The 25672-nt window shown below is 41.9% G+C and overlaps 3 annotated features.

Moving 5' to 3' along the window:
- Positions 265-1006: an enhancer, noted in NCBI's record as "OCT4-NANOG-H3K4me1 hESC enhancer chr6:16064773-16065514 (GRCh37/hg19 assembly coordinates)". NCBI's record gives its function as "activates a minimal SCP1, AML or CMV promoter by ChIP-STARR-seq in naive and primed H9 embryonic stem cells {active_cell/tissue: H9 hESC(naive and primed)}" and the evidence as "EXISTENCE:reporter gene assay evidence [ECO:0000049][PMID:30033119]".
- Positions 1007-1747: an enhancer, noted in NCBI's record as "NANOG-H3K4me1 hESC enhancer chr6:16065515-16066255 (GRCh37/hg19 assembly coordinates)". NCBI's record gives its function as "activates a minimal SCP1, AML or CMV promoter by ChIP-STARR-seq in naive H9 embryonic stem cells {active_cell/tissue: H9 hESC(naive)}" and the evidence as "EXISTENCE:reporter gene assay evidence [ECO:0000049][PMID:30033119]".
- Positions 7521-7815: a silencer, noted in NCBI's record as "tiled region #5392; HepG2 Repressive non-DNase unmatched - State 21:Repr, and K562 Repressive DNase matched - State 10:DNaseD". NCBI's record gives its function as "represses a minimal TATA promoter and a strong SV40 promoter by Sharpr-MPRA in HepG2 and K562 cells {active_cell/tissue: HepG2 | K562}" and the evidence as "EXISTENCE:reporter gene assay evidence [ECO:0000049][PMID:27701403]".

The raw sequence follows: 25672 nt of genomic DNA on the forward strand, positions 1-25672 counted from the left end.
TACGGTAAAAATTGGAAAATTGCGTCGGCGTATATTACTGGCTAAAACTTCACTTATTTTAAATACGGTATTGAGTAATTTAGATCACACTTCTTTATTTTAAATTAGTGAACTTTGTATCCTTTTAGGCAGATTCTAGGTCTGGCTAAGGCCCATAGGAAAGAGCATCAGATTGCTTAGTGAGAGTCATCCTCAAGTTAATACAAACAATGATTCTGTCTAGTAATTTCTTCTCAAGCTAACTTGCCGTGAGAATGGAGTCTCTGTTTTCCAACACGTCTTTGAAAACAGCCTCTAAAAGGCTGACATGTGGCAGCTGTCAGGCTCCCACCTGAATTCTAGTTCCCTGGTCATGGAAACTATTTTTAACCAGTTTGCACATTTTTCACTAACAAATGATTTCTCCAGCTCCAGCGTTGTGCCGTACTCATCTGCTTTCCTAAGCACAGTCCACATGCAGGCAGTTGTTCTTGTCATAAATCCGCTGTGCCATTTGGTCTCCTGCGTGATACTGTCTGTGACACATTAGGTGCCTTCCCTCTGCAGTAATACCCTCATTCACCATGCTCAGCCACAGGGTTTGTTTGAGCTGAGCACTGGGGTTAATTGCCCACCTGTCCTCAGCCCTTCTCAAACGTCTTTCATGCTGGCTGAACCTAGGGGACGACTACCCTAAGGGCAGTGCTCAAAGGGAAAGAACAAAGGGAAGGAAATGGCTGGCACTTCATTTTCTTTGGGAATGAAAGGAAGTGGATGATGTAGCCACAAGCTTAGCCACTTCCTCGAATCTGTTCAAGGATAATTGAGGTGCATTAAATCCTTCTGAAAAGAAATGGGAGAGTGTTGAGCTTTACCTGTTCCCCAAGTCAAAGGCATCCCTAGCAAGATAGTCTCTCCCATAACAAACACACACATAAGAACACATCAAGTCCGAAAACATAGAGAGCGACAATATCACTAATCATCAGAGAACTGCAAATGAAAACCACAGTGAGATACCATTTCATACCCATAGGATGATGACTATAAAAAAAAAGATGATAATAATTGGTGAGGATGTAGAGAAACTGGAGCCTTTTTTTTTTTTTTTTTTTTTTTTTTGAGACAGAGTCTTGCTCTGTCACCCAGGTTGGAGTGCAGTGGTGCGATCTCGGCTGACTGCAAGCTCCGTCTCCCGGGTTCACACCATTCTTCTGCCTCAGCCTCCCCAGTAGCTGGGACTACAGGCGCCTGCCACCACACCTGGCTAATTTTTTGTATTTTTAGTAGAGATGGGGCTTCACCGGGTTAGCCAGGTTGGTCTCGATCTCCTGACCTCGTGATCCACCCACCTCAGCCTCCCAAAGTGCTGGGATTACAGGCATGAACCACCGCGCCTGGCTGAAATTGGAGCCCTTTTTCATTGCTGGTAGGAATGAAAAATGGAGCAGCCACTGTGGAAAAGAGGATGGCAGTTCCTCAAAAATTAAATTCCACTTCTAGGTATAAACTCAAAAGCATTGAAGGCAGCATCCCAATAGATAGTTGTATACTCATGGTCATAGCACCATTACACACCAAAGCCAAAAGATAGAAACAATGAACTGTGTTCAACTGATGACTAGATAAACAAAAATACGGTACATCCACACAATGGAATAATATATTCAGCTACAAAAAGGAATGGAAGTGTGATGCATGCTACAACAAGTATGTACCTTGAGGACATTATGCTCTGTGAAATAAGCCAGTCACAAAAGGGCAAATACTGTATGATTCTGCTCATATGAGATACCTAGAATAATCAAATTCATAGGGACAGAAAGTAGTGGTTTCCAGGAGGTGTTGGTGGGGGGAAATGGGAGTCCTTGTTTAAAAGGTACAGAGTTTGAGATAATGAAGAGTAATTTAGAGGTGGATTGTGGTGATGCTTTCAGAACAATTTTTTTTTTTTTTTTGAGTCTTGCTCTGTCAGCCAGGCTGGAGTGCAGTGGTGCAATCTCAGCTCACTGCACCCTCCGCCTCCCAGGTGCAAGCGATTCTCCTGCCTCAGCATCCTGAGTAGCTGGGATTACAGGCACCTGCCACCATGCCTGGCTAATTCTTTGTATTTTTAGTGGAGATGGGGTTTCGTCATATTGGCCAGGCTGGTCTCGAACTCCTGACCTCAGGTGATCCACCCACCTCAGCCTCCCAAAGTGCTGGGATTACAGGTGTGAGCCACCGTGCCCGGCCTTGCAGAACAATTTTGAAATAATGCCAGTGAACTGTACACTTGAAAATGGTTAAAATGGCACATTTTATGATATGTGTATTTTACCACACACACACACACACACACACACACACACACACATACACACACAAAACATGAAGAAGAAATATGAGCAACAGGGCACAGGACTTCAGTAAGACTCATTTCTTTCGCAAAAGGGAAACTTACATTAGAAATTGCTTTTGCCTATTCCTTACAAAGTCAAAATGGAACTTGCCCTTCATTCTTACCGGTTGAAAAATCTTTCACAGAGTATTTGGTGGATTGAATCTTATCATAAAATCAGATAAGAATGTTTAGAAATCCAGAACATTAAAGGAAATTAGACAATTTTACAGGTCAGCTAGATAGAATGTTTTCCTTCTATTTTCATAGTCCATGTCAACTGTTTCCCTGAGAAAGGTGGGTGCAGGGAAGGAACACCTTGGATGCTAGGTGTCAAGGCTTCATGATGGGGAACCACTGCCAGAGGCACAAAGCAGAGGATGAGCCAACACAGAACATGCCACCACTGATACCAAGAGAAGGCAAAGAGAACAGGGCTGTGCCAGGGTCAAGGTGTATCTGGGCTAAGTTCAGCCTTGTTAGGTGAGCACCTTGGGGCTGGGCTTGTTATTTTTAACTAGTTATGCCCTGCCTTCTTTGTGGCTGCCTCTTGTCCATTTTATTTTTATATTTTATTTTATTTTATTTATTTTATTTTTTGAGACAGAGTCTCACTGTGTCACCCAGGCTGGAGTGCAGTGGTGCCATCTTAGCTTACTGCAATCTCTGCCTCCTAAGCTCAAGCCATCCTCCCACCTCAGCCTTCCAAGTGCTGGGACTGCAGGCATATGCCACTATGTCTGGCTAATTTTTTGCATTGTTTGTGGAGATGAGGTTTCACCATGTTGCCCAGGGTGGTATCAAACTCCTGAACTTAAGGAATCCTCCCACCTCGGCCTCCCAAATTGCTGGGATTACAGGTGTCAGCCACCACCTCTGGCCCTATTGTCCATTTTACAAAGGCCAGTCCAGTTAGTGTTTGTCAAATCAGGTTAAATAAGGTAAATTTATCTCTTTATTTTCTATAAATAATGATTTTTAAAACTATGAAAGAAAATTAAACCTGCAGTAACAACTCTTGTCAAAACTTCTGTCGTTGAAAAACTTCCATAGTAACATTAGTCAGAAAGAGAAAGCTTTGAAGTAGAATGATTCATTTATTTTATGCATATAACTGTAGCATGTTACATAATAGGTCTAGAACACGTTTCATCCTATTTGAAGAACATATAGTTCTAATCTCGTGATGTAAAATCATGAACCATTTCATATACAATCACAGACCTCTCTATGGTTGTCTGTACAATTGAGATGGAAAGTCTTTAAATTGTCATGTTTGGGCCTAAGAAACTAAGGGAATTAAAAATATATAAATTGGCATGACAGCAGCTTGATAAAATTGGAGCAATTATTTTTGGTGAGTAGTATCACTGTCCTCTATTGGGTGGTTTTCCAAGTTTTCATTATTAGGGTTCAGCAAACTTAAATGATTTTTCATCTTCGTGATGTGCTGCAGAATTTCACACTCAGCTTTCTGTCAACATCTAAATCAGCATGAAGACAGGATTATCGCTTCTGCTTTCAGTTGGTCCTCTAGCTCAGAGACATTTCTGCTGTTTTTGCAGAAATTTGACCAACATTCCCTAGAAAGCAAAGAACTTCACAAATTTTTTGTTTTCTTTAAAACAACACTTCAAATAAATAATGGTAACAGGGTATAAGTTTAAAAAACTGGTTAAGTTTCACAGTTCTTAAGTTATTTTCATTGTGCAAATTCCCTTCCTGAGCCTTGAAAGCCCACAAAGAATTTCCTAGTGTCTAGAATTGGTGGGTTCTTGATTTCACTGACTTCAAGAACGAAGTTGCAGACCCTCGCAGTGAGGGTTACGGTTCTTAAGACGGAGCGTCTGGAGTTGTTTGTTCTTCCCGGTGGGTTCGTGGTCTTACTTGCTTCAGGAGTGAAGCCGCAGACCTTTGCAATGAATGTTACACAGTTTATAAAGACAGTGTGAACCCAAACAGTTAACAGCAGCAGAATTCACTACAAACAGCAAAAGAATAAAACCCCCACAATGCACAGAGTGACCCAAGTGCATTGCAACCCCCACAGTGCACAGAGGGACCCAAGTGTGTTGCCACCTCCACACTGCACAAGGAGACCGAACTGCGTTGCCACTGCTGGCTCAGGCAGCCTGCTTTTATTCTCTTATCGGGCCCCACCCACATCCTGCTGATTGGTAGAGCCCAGTGGTCTGTTTTGACAGGGCGCTGATTGGTGCGTTTACAATCCCTGAGCTAGACACAGAGGTTCTCCACGTCCCCACCAGATTAGCTAGATACAGAGTGTGGACACAAAGGTTCTCCAAGTCCCCACCAGAGTAGCTAGATACAGAGTGTCGATTGGTGCATTCACAAACCCTGAGCTAGACACAGGGTGCTGATTGGTGTGTTTACAAACCTTGAGCTAGATACAGAGTGCCTATTGGTGTATTTACAATCCCTGAGCTAAACATAAAGGTTCTCCACGTTCCCACCAGACTCAGGAGCCCAGCTGGTTTCACCCAGTAGATGCCGCACAGGGGCTGCAGGTGGAGCTGCCTGCCACTCCCGCGCCATGCACTTACACTCCTCAGCCCTTGGGTGGTCGATTGGACTGGGCGCTGTGGAGTAGGGGATGGCGCTCGTGGGGGAGGCTCGGGCCGCACAGGAGCCCACGGAGCGGGTGGGAGGCTCAGGCATGGCGACCTGCAGGTCCCGAGCCCTGCCCCGCCGGAGGGCAGCTAAGGCCCGGTGAGAAATCTAAGCGGTGAGAAACCGAGCGCAGCGCCGGTGGGCCGGCACTGCTGGGGGACCCAGTACACCCTCCGCAGCCGCTGGCCCGGGTTGCCGGCTGGCTCCTCAGAGTGCGGGGCCCGCCAAGCCCACGCCCACCCGGAACTCCAGCGGGCCCGCAATCGCCGCGCGCAGCCCCCGTTCCCGCTCGCGCCTTTCCCTTCACACCTCCCTGCAAGCTGAGGGAGCCGGCTCCGGCCTTGGCCTGCCCAGAAAGGGGCTCCCACAGTGCGGTGGTGGGCTGAAGAGCTTCTCAGGTGCTACCAAAGTGGGAGCCCAGGCAGAGGAGGCGCCGAGAGCGAGCGAGGGCTGTGAGGACTGCCAGCACGCTGTCACCTCTCACTAGAATAGAAACTACTGAGGTCTTCCATTTCTGGAAACATTGTGGATAAGCTACTCTGGACAACCTGCCTTCTGAAATAACTCGAAATGCTGGATAAGCTTTTGAAAAATCACTGAAAGTGCATCACTGAGCTGGCAATAAAGTAAGAAATCCAGAGAAGCCAAACATAAAGTGAAAAAAGGAATGCAGAGATGTCAGCAAGCAGCCAAGCTGGCTCTCACCCTGGCAGCAGGGCCAAGCCCCAGCAACTTGAAGGTTCGGTTTTGACAGAGGCATGGGGATACAGGGACAGAAAAGCAAAGACACCTGCCCACCCAAGGTGGCATACTTATAAGAGACCCTAATAAAGCCGGGATGCCACAGGACTATTCTCATTGTAAGGGCCTTTCAGAAATAAACCTGCCTTACAGATGGAAACCGCGAGGAAAAATGCTGCTTCCAGCACGGGTTTGGGTGAAAGGGAGGAAAATTCTGCTCCAATTAAAATCGAAAGCTAACTCTTGCAGATTTGCTGCCCAAATTCACCCTACATGAATTGTCCTACAAACTTCAAGCTAATTATTTTAAAGCATCATGGGTTGGTAATACCCCCCAGTAGCCTAGAAGAAGCCAACACAAATACTTGCTGAATGAACCAGAAGGAATTATCTATCAATCCTCAAAAAAAAATTACTAATAAAACATGAACTTATAGTCACACACACACAAACATACACACACACACCCAACAAAGAAATAAGCCACCACATGCAAGAGCCAGCAGAAACAACACATAGCAAAATCAAACTCAGGATAATTTTAGATTTTGGATAATTTTAGATTTAGATACGGGCATAGACTAAAAATTAAGCATGATTTAACTATTTGAAAATAGAAAAGTGATCAAAGCATGAATAAGAGACAGTAAAACAAATAGAGCTAGGGAAAGGAAGGAAATATTCATGTTATTTATAAAATATAACGATATATTTATATGCCCCATATCTATTTATTTATAAAATATAAATATATTTATAAATAAATATTTATATATAAATTATAAATATATTTATAAATAAATATTTATATATAAATAAGTATAAATATATTTATAAATATATAATTAAATATATATTTATAAATAATATAAATATAAATATATGTTTATTTATGAAATATAAATTAACATGTAAAGCCTGAAGGACTCACTAATGGTGGATTAGACCCAGTTCAAAAAAGAAATTAGTGTGGTGGCTCATGCCTGTAATCCCAGCACTTTGGGAGGCCAAGGCAGGCGGATCACCTGAGGTCAGGAGTTCAAGACCAGCCTGGCCAACATGGTGAAACCCCGTCTGTACTAAAAATACAAAAATTAGCCAGCATGGTGGCAGACGCCTGTGGTCCCAGCTACTTGGGAGGCTGAGGCAGGAGAATCTCTTGAACCTGGGCAGTGGAGGTTGCAGTGAGCCAAGATTGCGCCACTGCACTCCAGCCTGGGCAACAGAGCGAGACTCCATCCCCTCTCCCCAGCACAAAAAAAAAAGAAGAAAGAAAAGAAATTAGTGAACTGGAAAACTGATTTGAAGAAATTACTCAAAATGCAACATGGAGTGACAAAGAAATGAAAAAATGTAAACAATTAATAAGGGTCTCAGAGACTAGAAAGAACAGAGCTCGTATACACCCAGCTGCAGTTTATTAATAGAATAGAGAGAATGAGAGAGAGAGGAGATGTTTAAAGAGATAGAGGTTCCAAAATTGTTGCAAGATATCAATCTTCAGATTTTAAAATCCAAACAAAATATAGTGGACATATATATTAGAGTCATGTCATTCTCTGCTTAAATATAATAACCATTTATTGATAGAGTACTATGTGCCAGGCATTATCACAGTATTTTATATATGGAGTGACTTCGTAGTCAGACTCAGGCATGCAAAAATGTGTCTTTATCTTTGAAAAACTCGAGGCAATGTTCTGTCTCCAAGCTGTATTCTGTCTGCTGGAGATACTTAATTCAGTTGCGTCCATGGGAACTCAGTCCATTTGAGTGAGTGAATTCTGGGTCAATTCAGACTTGCAACTCAGTCACTTTCAGGTTGAAATTTCCCTCTTGCTTGTTCCCCAGCCTTTGTCCCCACAAAGTGTGGAGTTGTCAGCTTTGTACCTAAGTCAGTAGTTTTCAACCCTGGCTGCCTATTAAAATCAGCCAAGATGCTTTTGAAAAATACCAAAGACCAGTCTCCCCGTGTAGATATTTTGATCTCAAAGGTCTGGGGTGGAACATTCTGCAAGGCTGAAAATCCCTGATCTAAGCATGAGATGGGCTCACTACCACAGGTCCACCTGACCTCGTCTGGTTCTTGCCCAGCCGGTGAGCAGCAGCCTTCTCAACTTTAACACGCACATGAGCTCCTTCCGATCTTTTTAAACTGTAAATTCTGAGACAGAAGCTCTGGGGTAGGACCTGCAATTCTGCATTTCTAACACATGCCCAGGTGATGCTGATGCTGATGCTGCCAGTCTTTGAGCACCACACTTTAGGTAAGTAGCAAGGGTGCACAGAACAAACTGGATCCGTGGTTCCCAACCTTGACTCCACATTGCAATTACATGGGGGTGTCTTCCCTCGGGGTGCCATAACAAAGTACTGTAGACTGAGTGGCTTATAAACAACAGAAATTTATTTCCCACAGTTTTGGAGGCTGGAAGTCCGAGATTGGGGCACCCACATGGTGGGGTTCTGGTGAGGGCCCTCTTCCATTGCAGACTTCTCCTCGTATCTTCACATGGCAGAAAGAGAGCTGGCTAGCTCTTGGTCTTTCTTTCCTTTTTTTTTTTTTTTTTTTTTTTTTTGAGACAGGGTCTCTAGGTTCTCACTCTGTCGCCCAGGCTGGAGTGCAGTGGTGTGATAATGGCTCACAGCAGCCTCGCCTCCTCGGTCCAAGCGATTCTCCTGCATCAGCTGCCTGAGTAGCTAGGGTTACAGGTGTGTGCCACCACACCCAGCTAACTTTTTGTGTTTTTAGTAGAGACAGGGTTTCACTATGTTGGCCAGGCTGGTCTTGAACTCCTGACCTCAAGTGATCTGCCTGCCTTGAACTCCCAAAGTGCTGGGATTACAGGTGTGAGCCACTGCGCCTGGCTTCTCTGGTCTTTTCTTATTAGGGCACCAGTCCCATCTTGAGGGCTCCACTCTCATAGTCTAATCACCTCCCAAAGGCTAAACACCATCACATCAGGATTAGGGTTTCAACATATAAATCTGGGGAGTCCATGGTAAGGAGCTTTAAAATATAGTACAGTCATGCCTTGGTATATGCGGGGGGTCAGTTCCAGAATGCCCCTCCACCACCACATAACCAAAATCCATGCATGCTCAGGTTCCATAGTCAGCCCTGAGGAACCTGCATATATGAAAACTTCCTATTCTCGAGTTTTCCGTCCCGGGAATACTGTATTTTCCATCTACTTGGTTGAAAAAAATCCGTGTATAAGTGGAACCATGCAGTTCAAATTTAGGTTGTTCATGGGTCAACCGTAATGCCTGCATAGCATGGTCAGAGATTCTGAATGATGAGACCAGAGCATGGCTCAGCACTGAGAATTGCCGAAGCTCCCATGATGGAGAACGTCTGCTGTAGAAGATGGCCTAGGAAATCTACCGATGCTGACACTGCTTCCCCTGGGCTCCCTGGTTCTGGGGATCTGCTCAGATGACAGCTGCCACTCTAAGACCCCTGCAGGCCCAGGGGCCCCTCACTGCTGTTGTCTCTCTCTCACACTCTGCTGACTTCTTCCTCCCATTGAGGACCTTGGGAACTTTGAGACTTGCAGCAGTCACCACTCTCTCATTTGGGAGATACAGGAGTCCTAGGGCAGCCAGTGATCACTCACCCTGGTCTTCACCATCCTTAGGACAAGCGACTCTAGGATGTCTCAATGGGCCTGTGGGAGAGGAGACTTCTCTCACATCCTCCAAACTTCACACTGAGGAGGCTGCTAGGACCTTTGCTTTCCCTCTCAGATTTGCCCTGGCAGGACGAGAAGACCCATGTCTAAGTTTTCTTGATGTTTCCAACTCTCATCTTCCTCCCTGGATCAGAGACAGGGCTCTCTATCTCACTGGGGATGGAAAGCATGGAAACTCTTTTCTCCCTGTTCACATCCCCTTTTATAAGTGTTGTCTTACAACATCAAGGTGCTTTTAAATTTAAAAGCAAAGCAATTGGTACGGAAACACAGAATGTGTGTGACTTAGCCAAGGATGCTTGATCAGTAGGTGAAGATACAGGAGCAGGGAGCTCACTCTTGTCACTGCCACCCCCAGGGGTGTCACACCAGCCTCCTCGTCACCTTCCTTGTCACCATGCCCTATTTTCTGAGCTAACATCTGGTACCTTTAAACTCTACATCAACCCTCCACATGTAGCTTAGGGTGCTTTAGAAGGCTGAGGACGGAGAAGAAACTGAGTTCACCAGTCACAGAAGAGAACATATTCTCTGTTCCTTTCTTGTCACTCATTCTCATTCTTTTTGCCTCACACTATTCATTCATGTATGAGAACAAAGGACATTCTCCCCAGAATCTTCTAGCCATGTAAGCAAGTGAACTTAAAAAAAATGGTATATTTTTAAAAGATTAATGAGTTCATCATGGCCCGAAAACCAAAATCTTGATGCTGAAAATCAAAATCTCTGTCAAAACCTTCATTCTGGTCATAAATATTCCTGATGCTATATTATATGTAAAAAACTGGGACATAGAAATGTAGGTGTATTAACTCAAGATTAGAGGAGAGAGGAAGGCCTGTGCTCACATTAAGAATAACTACTTGGCATTACAACGTCTTATTTCTTTTACAGTCATATAGGATTGCCAGGCTCTAGTCAACAGTGATGTGAATTCAGCTGTGAGTCAAAGATATTTTTATAATTCATAATCTTATATATATTTTTGTTTACTTGTGGCAAGGAATGATGTTGAGTAATTCCAGCTGTGTCTACACAAGGCAAATATCCTACGCTGAACGATACCGTATGGCTGACAAAAGAGTGTGTGTGTGTGTGTGTGTGTGTGTGTGTGTGTGTGTGTGTGTATGTGTATGTTTTTCATGTTCCACAGATCCCAAGTATAAGGAAAGATACGATATGAAAATGTTTTGAAACAGATAAAATTTATCTCTTTATGAAATCTCTTAGAAGCAAAAATTTAAGTCACTAAAACAGTAATTCTAGAATCAGAATTTTTAGAACTGAAGATATGTGTTGCAGGAAGCTTTGTTGGCCTCATTTCTTGCCCAAAAGCTGTGGAAAGTTAAGGAAAGTCGAGTGAGATAATAAAGCTCTTATTGGCTCAGGGACTCAGATACTGACAGTTAACAAAGTCAGTGTAGCCCTCTGGGTTCAGGAAGGGCTCACCTCATTGTTACTAGAGAGAGATTATTTTCTATGTTTCATGACATCAGAAAAATAAGTTAGTCATAAGCCTTTCCTTACTACACTGCATATTTTTGTGTTTAATGTGAATATTTAGTATTTAATATTCACATTGTAATTGCAGTATATGTAGCTGTGTGCCTGAATCTATGTCTTTTCAGTGGTTATGATTTCAAATGTCTCCCACATATGGCATGATAAAGAATTATTAACAAGTGCTAGTGAAAAGAAACATCCTTTATGTTTATGAAGCTTGTTAGACGTAGACGTTCAAAGCATGTCTCTTCTATCTTCAAATGACCCCTTAAAACTATACATTCCCTGCTTAAGACATTTTCTTGTTAGGAATTAAAGAACACCCATGTGAAATGAAAATCAATGTGTTCATGTGACAAAGGCCTAATGGCCATTGATTAATTCTATTTAAATCCTATTGCTGAATTTAGGACCAAAATATGACTCAGGGGACACAGGATGATGGGACAACAGGGGTTGGGGGACTGCCTACATAGGCTGGAACTTCAATGGATTTTCCACCAGCCTCTGCCTTTTCCCTCTACTGCAAAAGCTGGAAAGAAATGGGGACTGACTGATGCTATGGTGGGTAAAACTTTCCTAAACACCATTGGGAGGAAAATAAATTACTCTCAATCTTATATTTCTAGAGCCAAACACAGTTGACCCTTGAGCAACATGGGCTTGAATTGCAGTGGCCCACTTATATGTGAAATTTTTTCAATCAAAGTTACACCATGTACCTGTCCCTCCTGCTTCCCGTTCCACCTCCTCCACCCCTTCTGCCTCTGCTACTCTGAGACAACAAGACCAACCCCTCCTCCTCTTCAGCCTCCTCAAGGTGAAGACCATGAGAATGAAGACCCTTATGATAATCCACTTCCACCTAATGAATAGTAAATATAGCTTCCCTTCCTTATAATTTTTTTAATAACATTTTTTTCTCCAGCTTACTTTGTTGTAAGAATAAAGTATATAATACATATAACATACAAAATATATGTTGATTGACACATATATAATAGGCAAGGCTTCTGGTCAATAGTAGGTTATTAGTAGTTAAGTTTTGGGGGAATAAAAGTTATACATGGATGCCAACTGTGAGTGAAATTCCATCTGGGGGCGCCCCTAACTCCCATGTTGTTCAAGGGTCAGCTGTACACCCAGCATCCCTCAATTTAAGGCCTATCTGCTTAATCACAACAATTCAATCATAGCTGACATGCTTCTGCCTATTATAGAATATCTGCTCAAGAATTGTGTCTGCTTTGTTGTATCCTTAATACTTAGTATGGAACCATGTACACAACAGATGATCTAAAAGTCTTTGTTAAATAAAAGAATAAATAGATTTTCATAGAATCGAAAGACTGGAAATCTACCGATGCAGGAAATCTGTCCCTTAGTGTGTTTTCAGCTGCAGGTAACAGAAAACTCAAAGTAACTTCAGAGCTGGTCAACAGAGAAATCCCATGATACCATCAAGGCCTGGTGTTTCTTCATTTCTCACTCTGCCCTCCAGAATGTTGACTTCATCCTGATTATCTTCTAGATTTCAGGGTGACTTCTTCGAGGAAATGAAGCTACAGGATTCCCTATCTGTGTTTGGAGAGAAAGAAGCTGCCAGGAGTTCTTCCTTTCAGCCAAATTGAGCCGAATCAGGTCACCTGCCCCTTTCTTAATCATTATCTGACCACTCAGGTCTGGGTCCCTGATGCAGCCACACATCGGGGGTACAGGATTAACATGACTGATTTAACCTGATCAGCATCTACTCTGAAACAGATCTCTTTTGCACAACTTATTGCTCTTCTGCAATGGTTGAGAAAGGGGATGGAGTTGGGGAATCAACTGCAATGTCCACCTAGAGGAAGAGGTGCCACTAGAGATTTAGATAGATTGTTCACATCCAAATAAAGTGATGGTTGTCACATTTTTCCAATCAGTGCTGGAATTAGTAGTGTCTCTTTACAAATATGAAAAATATCTCCAGCCAGGCGCGGTGGCTCACGCCTGTAATCCCAGCACTTTGAGAGGCCAAGGTGGGCAGATCACCTGAGTTCGGGGGTTCAAGACCAGCCTGGCCAACATGGTGAAACCCTGTCTCTACTAAAAATACAAAAATTTGCCAGGCGTGAAGGCGGGCACCTGTAATCCCAGCTACTCAGGAGGCTGAGGCAAGAGAATTGCTTGAACCCAGGAGGAGGAGGTTGCAGTGAGCCAAGATCGTGCCACCGTACTCCAGCCTGGGCTGGGCGACAAAAGCGAGACTCCATCTCAAAAAAAAAAAGAAAAAAAGTCTCCATCAAAGGTCTATGCTATGGATACCTAGAGTGCTCTTCAATGCCACAAAACAGATGAGCAAGTCTGGGGTTTAAATTATGGCTATCGTTTTGTTACTATTGTTATTATGGCTGGGGACCCAGAAACTAAGTGTTCCTTTATTAATCGATTCAGAAGAGCTTGAGCCTAAGACAAGACTCCGAGAAAATGGGTATCTGTGCTTCAACGGCTCTTCTAAGTCCCTCTAGATTTTAAATTCTGGGCAAAGCATACTCAGATGAGAAGTACAGAGAGAAAGCTCAACAGAACAAGCCAGTTCTGCAGAGAAAATTACTCACTGCTACTTGCAAGGAGGACAGACAACATAAATGGAATGAATGGACAGGGCTGGGTTGCCCCCCAGGAGTCAGTTCTTGCCTGGGTCTAAGACAAGAAACACAGAGTAAGAAGATAGCGTTTGTGCATCTGTCTTTGAGTCACACTAATCTCACCCATTAGTAAAATACAGCCCAATGAAGCCCAAATACACACAATAATATTACCAACTTCTCCTCCCTTGTGGGGGACACAAACGAAGTCCTGGTATTAGACGTTCCCCTCTAGGAGATATTACCAATTAACTGATATCTACAAAGCACTTGACAGTTTATATTCACAAGCACTTTCTGAGTTTTTCTTCTCCCTTATTCTGTGCACAGTGACAACTACTGCCCATTTTACAGATGAAGAGACTGAGATTCAAGACTAACCAGATTTCATCAATTCCACTGCATGTGCTCATGGGACACTAAGCTCTGAAAAAGGAAACCAAACTATCTAAATTTAGAATAATTTGTTTAATAATTGCAAAGGGAGGAAGTGAACAACAAGGGTCAGCTTGTCTAGAAACTCGCTCCTCAAAGTGAGCTCCAGGGACCAACGGCACCAGCATCACACCTGAGACCTTGTTAGAAATGCAGAATTTCAGGCCCCAGCCCAGACCTGGTCCATTAGAATCTGGATTTTAGTAAGTATTATAGTTTAGTAAGTATTTTAGTTTAGTATTACCTAGAGGATCTGAAAGCACATTAAAGTGTGGGAAGTATGTATCTAGAAGGGTCTAGAAGAGATGGCATACTGTCTGGGGCATTTTATCTTCTACTGGAGATCAGGAAGTGGGAGACCCAAAGGACAGGGTATACTGCAAGGACGCTGAATGGATGGACTTGAGGATTCAGGGGTGGCAGGATGCTTTCTGGGGAGTCAATGATGGGCACTAGACAGTCATACAGCACAGACTAAGGTCTCCTACACTAGCTTCTGCCTCTGTGTTCTGGGAATTTCAGTGCTGCCCAGACTGATAAAACACTCCACGGGAGAGACTCTGGACATATTTTTGTTGATGCAAGGTTGGCAAGGCAATTATTCAGCTATATCTTGGTCTTCACCTTTGCTCATGCAAAGTCTGTTACCATGATTGCAAAAATCTTTGCAAACTGCAGGTCAAACTCTCCAGGCAACAGGTAAGGAGATTTTTATATTTTCTCTTTTCTCCCTTATATAAAAGGAGAGGCAAGAGTATTTCCTCCTGCAGATTGTAAATTAGTTCAGGCCCTATGGAAAGAAGTTTGCAGATTTCTCATAGAACTAAACATAGAATTACCATTCGACCCAGCAATCAATCTCATTAATGGGTATATACCCAAAGGAAAATAAATCATTCTACCAAAACACACATGCACATGCATGTTCCTCACAGCACTAGTCACAATGGCAAAGTCATGGGATCAACCTAGGTGCCTATCAACAGTGGACTGGATAAAGAAATTGCGGTACATATACAGCATGGAATACTACTCAGCCATACAAAAGAATGAAATCATGTCCTTTGCAGCAATGTGGATGCAACTGGAGGTCTCTATCCTAAGTGAATTAAACACAGAAACAGAAAACCAAATAACACATGCTCTCACTTATAAGGGAGCTAAACATTGGGTACACATGGGCATAAAGATGGAAACAGTATACACTGGGGACTCCAAAGGAAGGGAGGTGGGGAGGGGAGCAGGGATTGCAAAACTACCTATTAGGTACTATGCTCCTTACTTGAGTGACAGGGTCAGTCACACCCCAAACTTCAGCATTACACAATAAGCTCATGTAACAAACTTGCACATGTACCCTCTGAATCCAAATTTTTTTTTAAAAAAAGAATATTTCCTCCTACAGAAGTGGTAGCAGTTATGACCTAGCTTCACCATTTCCCGAGGCAAGATGAATACACTTAAATCTCTTTTCAAGAAAAGTTATCCCAAGAAGTCCACAGTGTGCAAAGCATGCAAAGGGATGATAATAATAATCATAGAAATCAAGCCTTCCAAGAAAATTGGATTTTAATAACTGCTCTTTAAGGCTGGCATAGCCATCTGATGTCAGGGAGGGACCCAGCATATACCAGAGGACCAAATGCTAAAGAGAGTCAGCATTTCTGCTCAATTACCTTCTCTAAGTTCACACAAGGAATTGTATTTCATTTTTATGCTTCACAAAAACGCTCAGAAAAGACAGATTTCTAAAAGCCAAAATATCCCCCTCCATAAAAAGCCCTTTCACATAATCAAGGCTTTTATTTCGGCTTTTATTTCAGCTTTTACAATACTCTTTGCCCTTCTGTGCTTTGTCCTGAAATCTTATAAAACCAAGATTTGGCTCTTTTATAATTCATGGCATGTGATGTTCTTGGCCCTTGAAATTTCTTTAGAAAAAAAAAAGTGATTACATAGTTCAATTCTGTTGCATGGGGCAGAGAGTCTTTATTTTTCTATGAAAGTCAAGGATTTAGACTTTTCCTGATAAAGTCAGGTGCCTGTATACTGCTGTCTCAGAGCAAAGTCAAACAAAGGAATATAATCAAGTGTCACTATTTTGTTTAACTAACTGGGGATGAGACCAGAGTAAAGCAATAAAAAGTTTGAGTTTTGGACTCCACTTTAAAGAAATACAATTTTATTGCTTTCAAGTATATAGAAAATTCAAATTAGGCCAATCAAGCAGTGTCAGATAAAGGTCTTTTGAGGATTTTCTTTAGCAAATAAACAAGGAAGAAGTGTAATGATCACAGTTCACTGACTAATTAACATTCTCCATTACACGGGTTTGTTATTATTACACTAATGCCACTGGTTTATTATCAGCTCACCAACAATCCTGATTTATTTTTATTCCATAACAATCCTGCTTCTATAGCAAAACTCTCCAGTTTGTTCATTTCAGTGATTGTAAAATTTTCCGTTTAATCTTTTTTACACTTTTAATTTGCCCAGCAAAGGTTGATTTCAAAGGTTGATTTACCACTTTATAGTCAAGGTTTAGAGGAAGACAATGGGTCTGTAACTAAATCATTTTTAACTCTAATTTGATGATTTTTTTCAATCAATGTGGTTTAGTGGTGGGAAAAAATGAAAAGAAGACCTGAGTAGAAATCAAATTATTTACCCTCCCTGATTTTATTTCTTCCTCAGATTGGGATTGCAAGATACCTCAAAAGATGGTGTTAGGATGAAATAGGATTAATGTATATGAGTATTTTGCTTACTGCTCTGTTGACAGAGAAGCACTATTCAAATGTTGGATATTATTATTAGTAATACTTTAAACTCTGGATTAATGAAGCCCAAGTTAATGACTTTTATGTATGAAAAAAACTTGTTCAGTCAGATATTTTTCTATGATGAATCATTCCTTTTCAGTAAGGAAGGTTATTGGTAATTCCCCTATCTTTCTCAGGCCTTTAGAGCGCTACCCTGTTTGCAAAGTATTACCCATGGTTTAGAAAAACAAACCTCTTTTTGGGGATCCAAATTAAGGTCTACCTTCCCCAAGAAGTGTGCTGTGATTACTTCATTTCAGTTCTTTCTCTGCCTCCTCTGATTGACTACACCCCGCAATTGGATGAAATTTAACAAACACAGACAGTATTGACTTAACAACTTTTCAACTTTATGATGGTGCAAAAACAATATGCATTCAGTAGAAGCTGTACTTTGAATTTTGAATTTTGATCTTTTCCCAGGCGGTACGACACTGTCTCATATAGCTAGGCGGTGGCAGCTCCCAATCAGTCACTCAATCATGAGGGTAAACACCTGATACTCTACAGCAGGCTGTGTTGCCCATGATTTTGCCCAGCTTTAGGCTAATGTAAGTGTCCTGAGCACATTTCAGGGAGGCTGGGCTAAGCTATGATGTTCAGTTGGTTAGGTGTACTAAATGCATTTTCGACCTACAATGATTTCAGCTTCAGATGGGTTTATCAGGACATAGTTAAGTAGAGGAACATTTGTACTGAAAACGCTCTAAGGTTAAGACACCATCCTGGGTGCTGGGGTAGGCTGTGAGGAGTGAGAAGTTCATGGGATCAAATGTGAAGAGAGGGCCAAAGGACAAATCCAACGGAGAACCTCTCCAGGCCCCAGAATTCATAATCTACTGAAGGGCAAACGTCGGACATTTATACCATATGAGGCAAGTAGTGGTAAATGCAAAATAGAAATATAAAATGTTGAGTGTACAGAAAGAAGAGATTCATTGTGACTGAGAGCATCTAGGAAGCCTTCTTAAGGAGAGGGGATTCTAGCTGAGTCTTGAAAGGTGTATTCGATCTGGGGAAGAAGTTTGATCTGTGGTTAGATCCAAGCTGCTGGATCTGGGGTGGGATTGCAGAACACTGGGGAAAGGAAGGAAGCTGGATCATGGAGCGTCTAGTGGGATGGACTGTTGATGCAGGTAGAGACCTGCATCCCTAAACCAAAGTGTGCCAAGTATCACCATTCTTTACTCTGCTTGAATCAACTTAACCTAGACTCTGAGCTTCTATGTCACCAAGCAGGTGGAAGTCCCATCTCTGCCATGACGGCTTACAGAGAGCCATACTCTCTGTCCCTGGGAGTATAGAGTGCTTGTAGGGACCACAGAAAAAAGGGGCAGAAGCCTCTATGCTCCAATCCACCACAGTCAGCACTGAGGTCTTCAGAGCCAAAGCCTGGGAGATCACATGAACACTTGCTCCTTTCAGATGGAGAGTGAGGAAAAGGCATCTTTGCCTTGGCTGGCATCCCAGGCTGCAGTTCAGCCTCTCTAGACCCAACATGCAGCCTGGGACTGCCTGGGACTTTACCCAAGAGGCAGCCACTCCCAGGACTTCTATCTCTTCTCCACTTGGGGAAAATCACCGCCTCTCCCCTCTTCTAATTTCTAAGACAATGCTTTTATCTTCTTCCCACCTCAGGGATTGCTATGGTTGTAAAAGTCCATCTAGGCTGCTATAACAGAGTCCCATAGACTGGGTGGCTTCAAGAATAGACATCTCTTTCTCACAGTTTTGGAAGCTAGAAAGTCCAAGATCAAGGTGCTGGCTTATTCAGTTCTTTGCAAGGGCCTTCGTCCTGGCTTGGAGACAACCACCTTCTCGCTCTGTGCTCACCTGGCCTGACCTGGGTGGCAAACAGAGCTCTCTTCCTCTTCTTCTCAGGGCACTAATACCATCATAAGGATCCCATTCTCAGGACCACATCTAAACCTACTTATCTGCCAAAGGCTCCCCTTCTAAATATCTTCATATGGGGTTACAGATTCAACACAAGAATTTCAGGGAGACACAAACACTCAGTCCAAACAATAATATGTGCAATGAGCTTAGGTTTTTGTAAACTGCAGGAATGCTGTCAGCTCTGCAGTGCAAGGAATAGGAACAGCCCAGCTGTTTGTTTGAAACGGTTGGAAGAGTGGAAATACAGGAAAGAAAGCTCGAGGTAACAGTATCTCAGGAAAGAAATTAGCCACATGACTTATAGCTTTTCTCATATGGCTGTATTTTGCTGTTACTTCCCCTTTTATTTGGATGAATTTTCAACCCAACTGTATCATATATACCTTGAGGCCAATAAATATGCTTTACATCTTTTCATCCCCTGTGGCACTCAGGCAAATTGTATGATTGGAGAAAACACTGATGAATTTTCGTTGAGTGACAAGAAATGAATGTTCTCCGAGCCTTCCAAGCATGCTACCCAGGGCTGACTCTATGTGGAAAGCAGTCTATGGCTCCTTGTGAATATGGCATTTCCAACCATGTCTCAACACACACACAGATGTACACACACACACTCCTTAGAGCACACATCAATAAATAAATAAGGATCTCAAAGTCACAGAAGAGTTTCTCATTTTGGATGTTATTTCCCTTTTAGCTTTAGGTGATGGAGAAAGTGGCGCTTATTATCACTGCAAAATGTTCTAATTTGCTGTGTGACCTTCATAGGGTAATTTACCCAATAGAAAAGGTATCAGATGTAGAAGACTATGGTCCCTTGAAACCACATTTCCAAAGGTTGCTGTAGTTGAGAGTCAGGAGGAACAATAAGTTGGATAAGTCTTCATTATCATTATGATTTAAAGCCAGTCTATAAGATCCCCTTCTTCTCTACGAAAGCACACACCAACTAGAATACACACACACACACACACACACACACACACACACATCAACTATAATTCTAAATAGACATTGTATTAGTTTCCTATGGATAGAAATAAATTTGTTGTAACATTACTGCAAACTTAGTGGCTTAAAACAACAGAAATTTATTTTCTCACAATTTTGGACTCCAGAAGTCCAAAATCAGTATCACTGGGCCAAAATCAGGGTGTTTGCAGGGCTACGCTCCATCCAGAGGCTCTAAGGCAGGATCCATTCCTGGCATCTTTCAGCTTTTGGTGGCTCTGGTATTCCTTGGCTTGTGGCTGCATCTCTCCCATCATCCAGATCAGCATTATCGAGTCTCTCTCTGCTCCATCTTCACATTTCCTTCTTTTCTTGTGTCAGATTTCTTTCTGCTTCCCTCTTATGAGGATACAGGTTATTGCACTTAGAGCCACCTGCATAGCCCGGGACCATCTCGTGATCTCAAGATCCTTAATCACATCTGCAAAGCCCCCTTTTTCTTACCACATCAGGTAACATTCACAGGTTCCAAGGATTAGGATGTAGATATTTTTTGGAGGCCACTTTTCATCCTACCGCAGAGGTGTTCTTATACCAACTCTAGAGCTCCCCTAAACTTTAATTATTAACAGGACAATTATCCAGTGTGTAGACTATTTGGACATTTTGCTTTTCTATTTTGTTATTCTCTGGCCTTTCTGGGCCACATTGTTCTAAGAGTAGAGAGATGAAACTCAAAGAGTCAATTTAACAATTAAATTAATAAAAGGTTGATGAGTAGCTTTTCCTTGCATTGCAGCTCTGACAAATGGTTGATGAGTAGTTTAATTAGTTGACTAAAATGAATATAATATTACCTGGGATTTGTTTATTCCTTGCTCATTTTAACTTAGATAATCAAGAATCAATAATAGAGAGAGAGTTGGGAACCCAAAAGGTAGATCAAATAAATCATTCATTTTCTTTTTGTATTTTCTTTAGGCTCTTCTCTTGCTAATTTCACAAATTATAAATTAATGAACCATGCAGAAGTAGACTGTGAAATCTGTCCTCATGGGCAGGAGTCTCAGTTCTGTTTCTGTTTACTCTGGAATTACTCTGGCCAGTCACTGTGGGAAGTTTGAAAAATGAAAAGAATGAATCTATTTATTTCTTTATATTACACTAGGATTTTTTAAACATAATGGATCTAATGAATTCAGTTTCTCTGTTTAACAAAAACTTCAGAAAAAGTATGCTAAGTGCTTTTGTATTTCTAATAAATATTTAATGCTGTGGTTTTAAATGCTTATAAATTCATTCATTCATTCATCTGTGTATTCGGCCACTATTTACTCAATGCCAGCTGTGTGTTTGCCACTGTTCTGGTCACTGGGGTACCTTAAAAGTCTGAATGTGCCTTGTAGTATTCTTAAAGCAAAGCTTAAATACTGGGAGAATCTAATTTAATTTATATGAGTTGGTTTGCACTCCTAAGGTCCTAGGAAGAAGGATGTTAAAGAAATCTAAGTCAACATTGGCCTTGTCTCACTCCTTTAGGTATCAGACAGCTCTAGCAATGCTGTGTTGTGGACAGAAGTGCCTCTTTCCAACTCCCACTAACCTGGCTTCATTGGATAAAAAGCTCTGATATGGTTTGGCTGTGTCCCTGCCCAAATCTCATCTTGAATTATAGCTCCCATAATCTCCATGTGCCATGCGAGGGACCCCGTGGGACGTAATTGAATTATGGGGGCCGGTTTTTCTTGTGCCGTTCTCATGATAGTGAATAAGTCTCACAAGATCTGATGGTTTTATAAAGGGCAGTTCCCCTGCACAAGCTCTCTTGCCTGCTGCCATGTAAGACATGCCTTTGTTCTTCCTTCACCTTCCACCAGCCCTATGTGAAATGAAGATCTGATCAACAGCCCTGTGTGAAATGAAGATCTGATCAATTAACCAGGTGATTAAATTGATGAAGATAGCCAACCAAAGTTATTCTAACTCTGGAAAGAAATTTTTTACCACCTTCACGTTCTAATAGATGAATCAAATGAATAGCGATTATTATCACATTAGCAGTATAAATGTCTATGTGATTTAGTGTTACGAAGACACACACTTCAATTTTGCCTAGGTATTTTCATTATTCTCTGTACCTCCATCATAGCTCCACTTTGTATGCTTATGATTTTTATTATTATAAATAAGTTATTACTCTGATAAACATTTCTTTATTAAAACTATTTAGGATGGTTGTATTAGGTTGTATTTCGTCTCTTTATTAAGATGGTTGGCTTTCTGAATTACTTTGGTATGCACTGAAAACAATAAATAAATAAATATAACTTAGGAAAAACAGTAGGGCAAGAGATTGAAAGGAAGGTTAGATTTCACCCTCCTGGCACTGAGCGTGTGTTCAACCCAGAAAACAGGAATTCTCTCCTTCTATTCAGAATGACTATGTTTTGGCAGGAAAAACTGCCACTAACTCATTGATTTCTTCACTTCCTGTTAAAAAAAAATAGTGAATATTTCACTTAAGCCTAACTTGTAAGTATCAAGACAAAAATACTAAGACATCGCCTTAGTATTTTTTTGAGTTGACATTTGCACAACTCAAACATCCTATCTACTTTTTAACCAAGAATTGTGTATTATTGAAATTGGGTGGCTGGGTTTTACCTCTTTGCTCACATGTGTTTACGAAAACCACTGAGGGCCAGGCATGGTGGTTCACGCCTATAAACCCAACACATTGGGAGCCTGAGACAGGAGGATTACTTGAGCCTAGGAGTTTGAGACCAGCCTGGGCAATAAAGGAACACCCCATCTCTTAAAAAAGCTTTTTTAAAAAATTAGCCAGGCATGGTGGAGCATGCCTATAGTCCTAGCTGTTTGGGAGGCTGACATGGGAGGATTGCTTGAGCCCAGGAGTTCAAGGCCATAGTGAGCTACTCTCATGCCACTGCACTCCATCTTGGGCAACAGAGAGAAACCCTGTCTCTAAAAAAATAGAAATAAAAATAAAGAAGAGTTGAATACAAATAAGCATTTATTGGGACACAGTTGTCGGTTTCCAGCCTTTGATCATCTTCCATTCCTCCCCCTGAATATTTCTCGCTGAATGATTGGTCAGGTGACAGCTTTAAGACTTAGCTCAAACCCATTGGAGCCTGGCTGTCCAGATGACCTGGTGTGGCTGGAAAGGATTTTGCCCTGCATGGATGTGACACTGTGGGATGATGTCAAGGGCTCTGGGGTAAGCTAGAAACAAGTGGAAACTGGATCTGCCTGTCACTAGCTACTTGGCCGGGGCCAAGAGATTTTTCCCTTTCTGAGCTGCCAATTTCTCCACTGTGAACTGCAGACAGTGGTAAGTACAGTGGTCACTGAGTGGGCGTAGGGGGCCTGCTGAGAGAATTCATTTAACCTGCTTCAAGCTCAGGGAGTGCCCACCTAGTGGGGCTTCTCTGCATCCTGTTCCTCTGGCCCTTGTCCCAGCCCTCTGCACTCTACCATGAGGAAAATTAAACTACTGAATTTTGATTCAGTTTGGGCTGTGTCTTTTAACAAAAGCCCTATCTCTAGCAATCCTGTACTTTGTCCTGGTTAGTGCACAAGGATTAATGTACTGCAGGTCTTACCTTTTCCTTTGGACTGTGAATTCCGTAAGGTCACAGAGTTTGACAAGCTCATCTTTGTCTTCCCGCCATCTTACCCGACACCTGGGGATGTACAGCTGTTTCATAAGTGCATGTTGAAATGAAATAAAATGAATGTAGTACATACCAGAAGGTTGTTTCTTTTAAATAAGAGTATAGTTGAATCTATGCATTCATGCATGCATCAAATTTATATTGGTTATTTCTTGTGTGAAAGATCTCTAAGCTCTCTCCTCAGCTTCAAATATGAAGAAACCTTCTGTTGAGCTGATGAGGAAAAATAAACATAAATTTTTTAAATGACCTGTGTAAGGTAATTAAGCTATTAAAATGTCTTTCAGTACAAAACACTATTATCTATCTATGTATATGTACATTTTCACACCAGGTTCAGACTCTCTTTTCTACTTAGGTTATGGGGAAAAGCTCATCAGCTTCAGTTGAGATTTTCATTGCTTTGAAGAACTCATTCCTAATTTTCATTGTCTTAAAAAATGATAAAAACTTCTTCATTTTTTTTACCACATTTTTTGTCACATGCATTTATTGTCTTCTCTGCAGTCTCGCTATGCATCTCTCAACAGCCTCTTGACTCCACCCTGTTCTTGCATTGCTCCCTCTGGGGGAGTAGAACAATATGGCCAACACTCACGTAGCACTTACTGTGTGCGAGGTATTATATTGTAAGCACTTCACACTTAATAACTCATATTTACCTTCTGAGGTAGGTTAAGAAAAAAAAAAAGGTAGGTAGGTAGGTAGTTTTTGCATCTGCAAAACCCCACTTTGCAGACGAAAAAGTTGAGATTAAGTAACTTGCTCAAACCCCACATCTGGTAAACCGTAGAGCTGGAATTTGAACCCAGGCAGTCTGTCATTAGAATCAGTGCCCATGACCACCATGATCTACAGTCACAGGATACAATGAAGATGGTGCATTGGACACATTTGAATGTAATCCACATGCAGATAAGGTTTGCATATGCTAGTGGGGAAACCCTTTGAATACTACCAGGACTCTGTATCATCTAGTCAATCTGTAACACCCGAAGGGAGTTCACATTTTTGCTATACTGCCATCCAGCGTAATGTCAGCTCTGTATTCAGGCACAGGAGGAGATATAGTTGTGGATACTCAGTAAGTACTTACAAAATATGAAGGATCATTAAACAAGAAAAGCAGATATTAATAACTTCACCTCTGTGGTTGTAATCAGTAGGCTTCCCTTTTATGAGATAAGGAATTACTTTATAATGTCAATGTTGTTTTTCTATATATCTATGTTGGGCTGTTCTTGCATTGCTATAAAGAAATACCTGAGCTGGGTAACTTATAAGAAAGACGTTTAGGCCAGGTGCGGTGGCTCACACCTGTAATCCCAGCACTTTGGGAGGCTGAGACGGGCAGATCACCTGAGGTCTGCAGTTCAAGACCAGCCTGACCAAAATGGAGAAACCCCATCTCTACTAAGTAGTGGCACATGCCTGTAATCCCAGCTACTTGGGAGGCTGAGGCAGGAGAATCGTTTGAACCCAGGAGGTGGAGGTTGCGGTGAGCAGGGATCACGCCATTGCACTCCAGCCTGGGCAACAAGAGCGAAACTCCGTTTCAAGAGAAAAAAAAAAGAGGTTTGATTGGCTCACAAGTCTGCAGGGTGTACCAGAAGCGTGGCGCCAGCATCCGCTTCTACAGAGGCCTCAGGAAGCTTAAAATCATGGTGGAAGGTAAAGGGGAGCAGGGACTTCACGTGGCTAAAGCAAGAGCAAGGAGAAGAGAGCCAGTGGTAGGAGGTGCCACACTCTACAACAACCAGATCTCGTAAGGATTCACTCACTATCAAGAGAACAGCACCAAGCCATGAAGATCCACCCTGATGACCCAAACACCTCCCACCAGGCCCCACCTCCAACACTGGGGATTACAATTCAACATGAGATTTTGAGGGGACATCCAAATGAGATCACTATCCTTGAATGCAGCAGAATGTAGTGATACTCTCGAACTGAGTATAAGTGTCTGCTACTGTACAAAGCATATTACTCATGGCCTCTTTATTTACACTGGTGTGTTGTAATTTAAGTTGGCTGTTGCTATAGTTTGATGTTCAGCCACTTGCAATCTTGGCTAGCTAACATAAACTCAGAAGTTTGGAGTCATACAGAGATTCTTGTTTCCAATATAGTATGTAATATAGTGATTTGGTGTGGGGGTGTCAATTTGATGACTTCAATATCTGTTACCCAAACATATCAAAAAAATACAGTCTGTTTCAGTCTTTTAGACTGTTATAAAGCCAAATGAGGTCATGTCTGTAAACTGCTTTCAGCTCTTTGGTGGAAAATACATTATAAACAG

This window comes from Homo sapiens, chromosome 6 (assembly GCF_000001405.40).
Source record: "Homo sapiens chromosome 6, GRCh38.p14 Primary Assembly".
Taxonomy (NCBI): domain Eukaryota; kingdom Metazoa; phylum Chordata; class Mammalia; order Primates; family Hominidae; genus Homo; species Homo sapiens.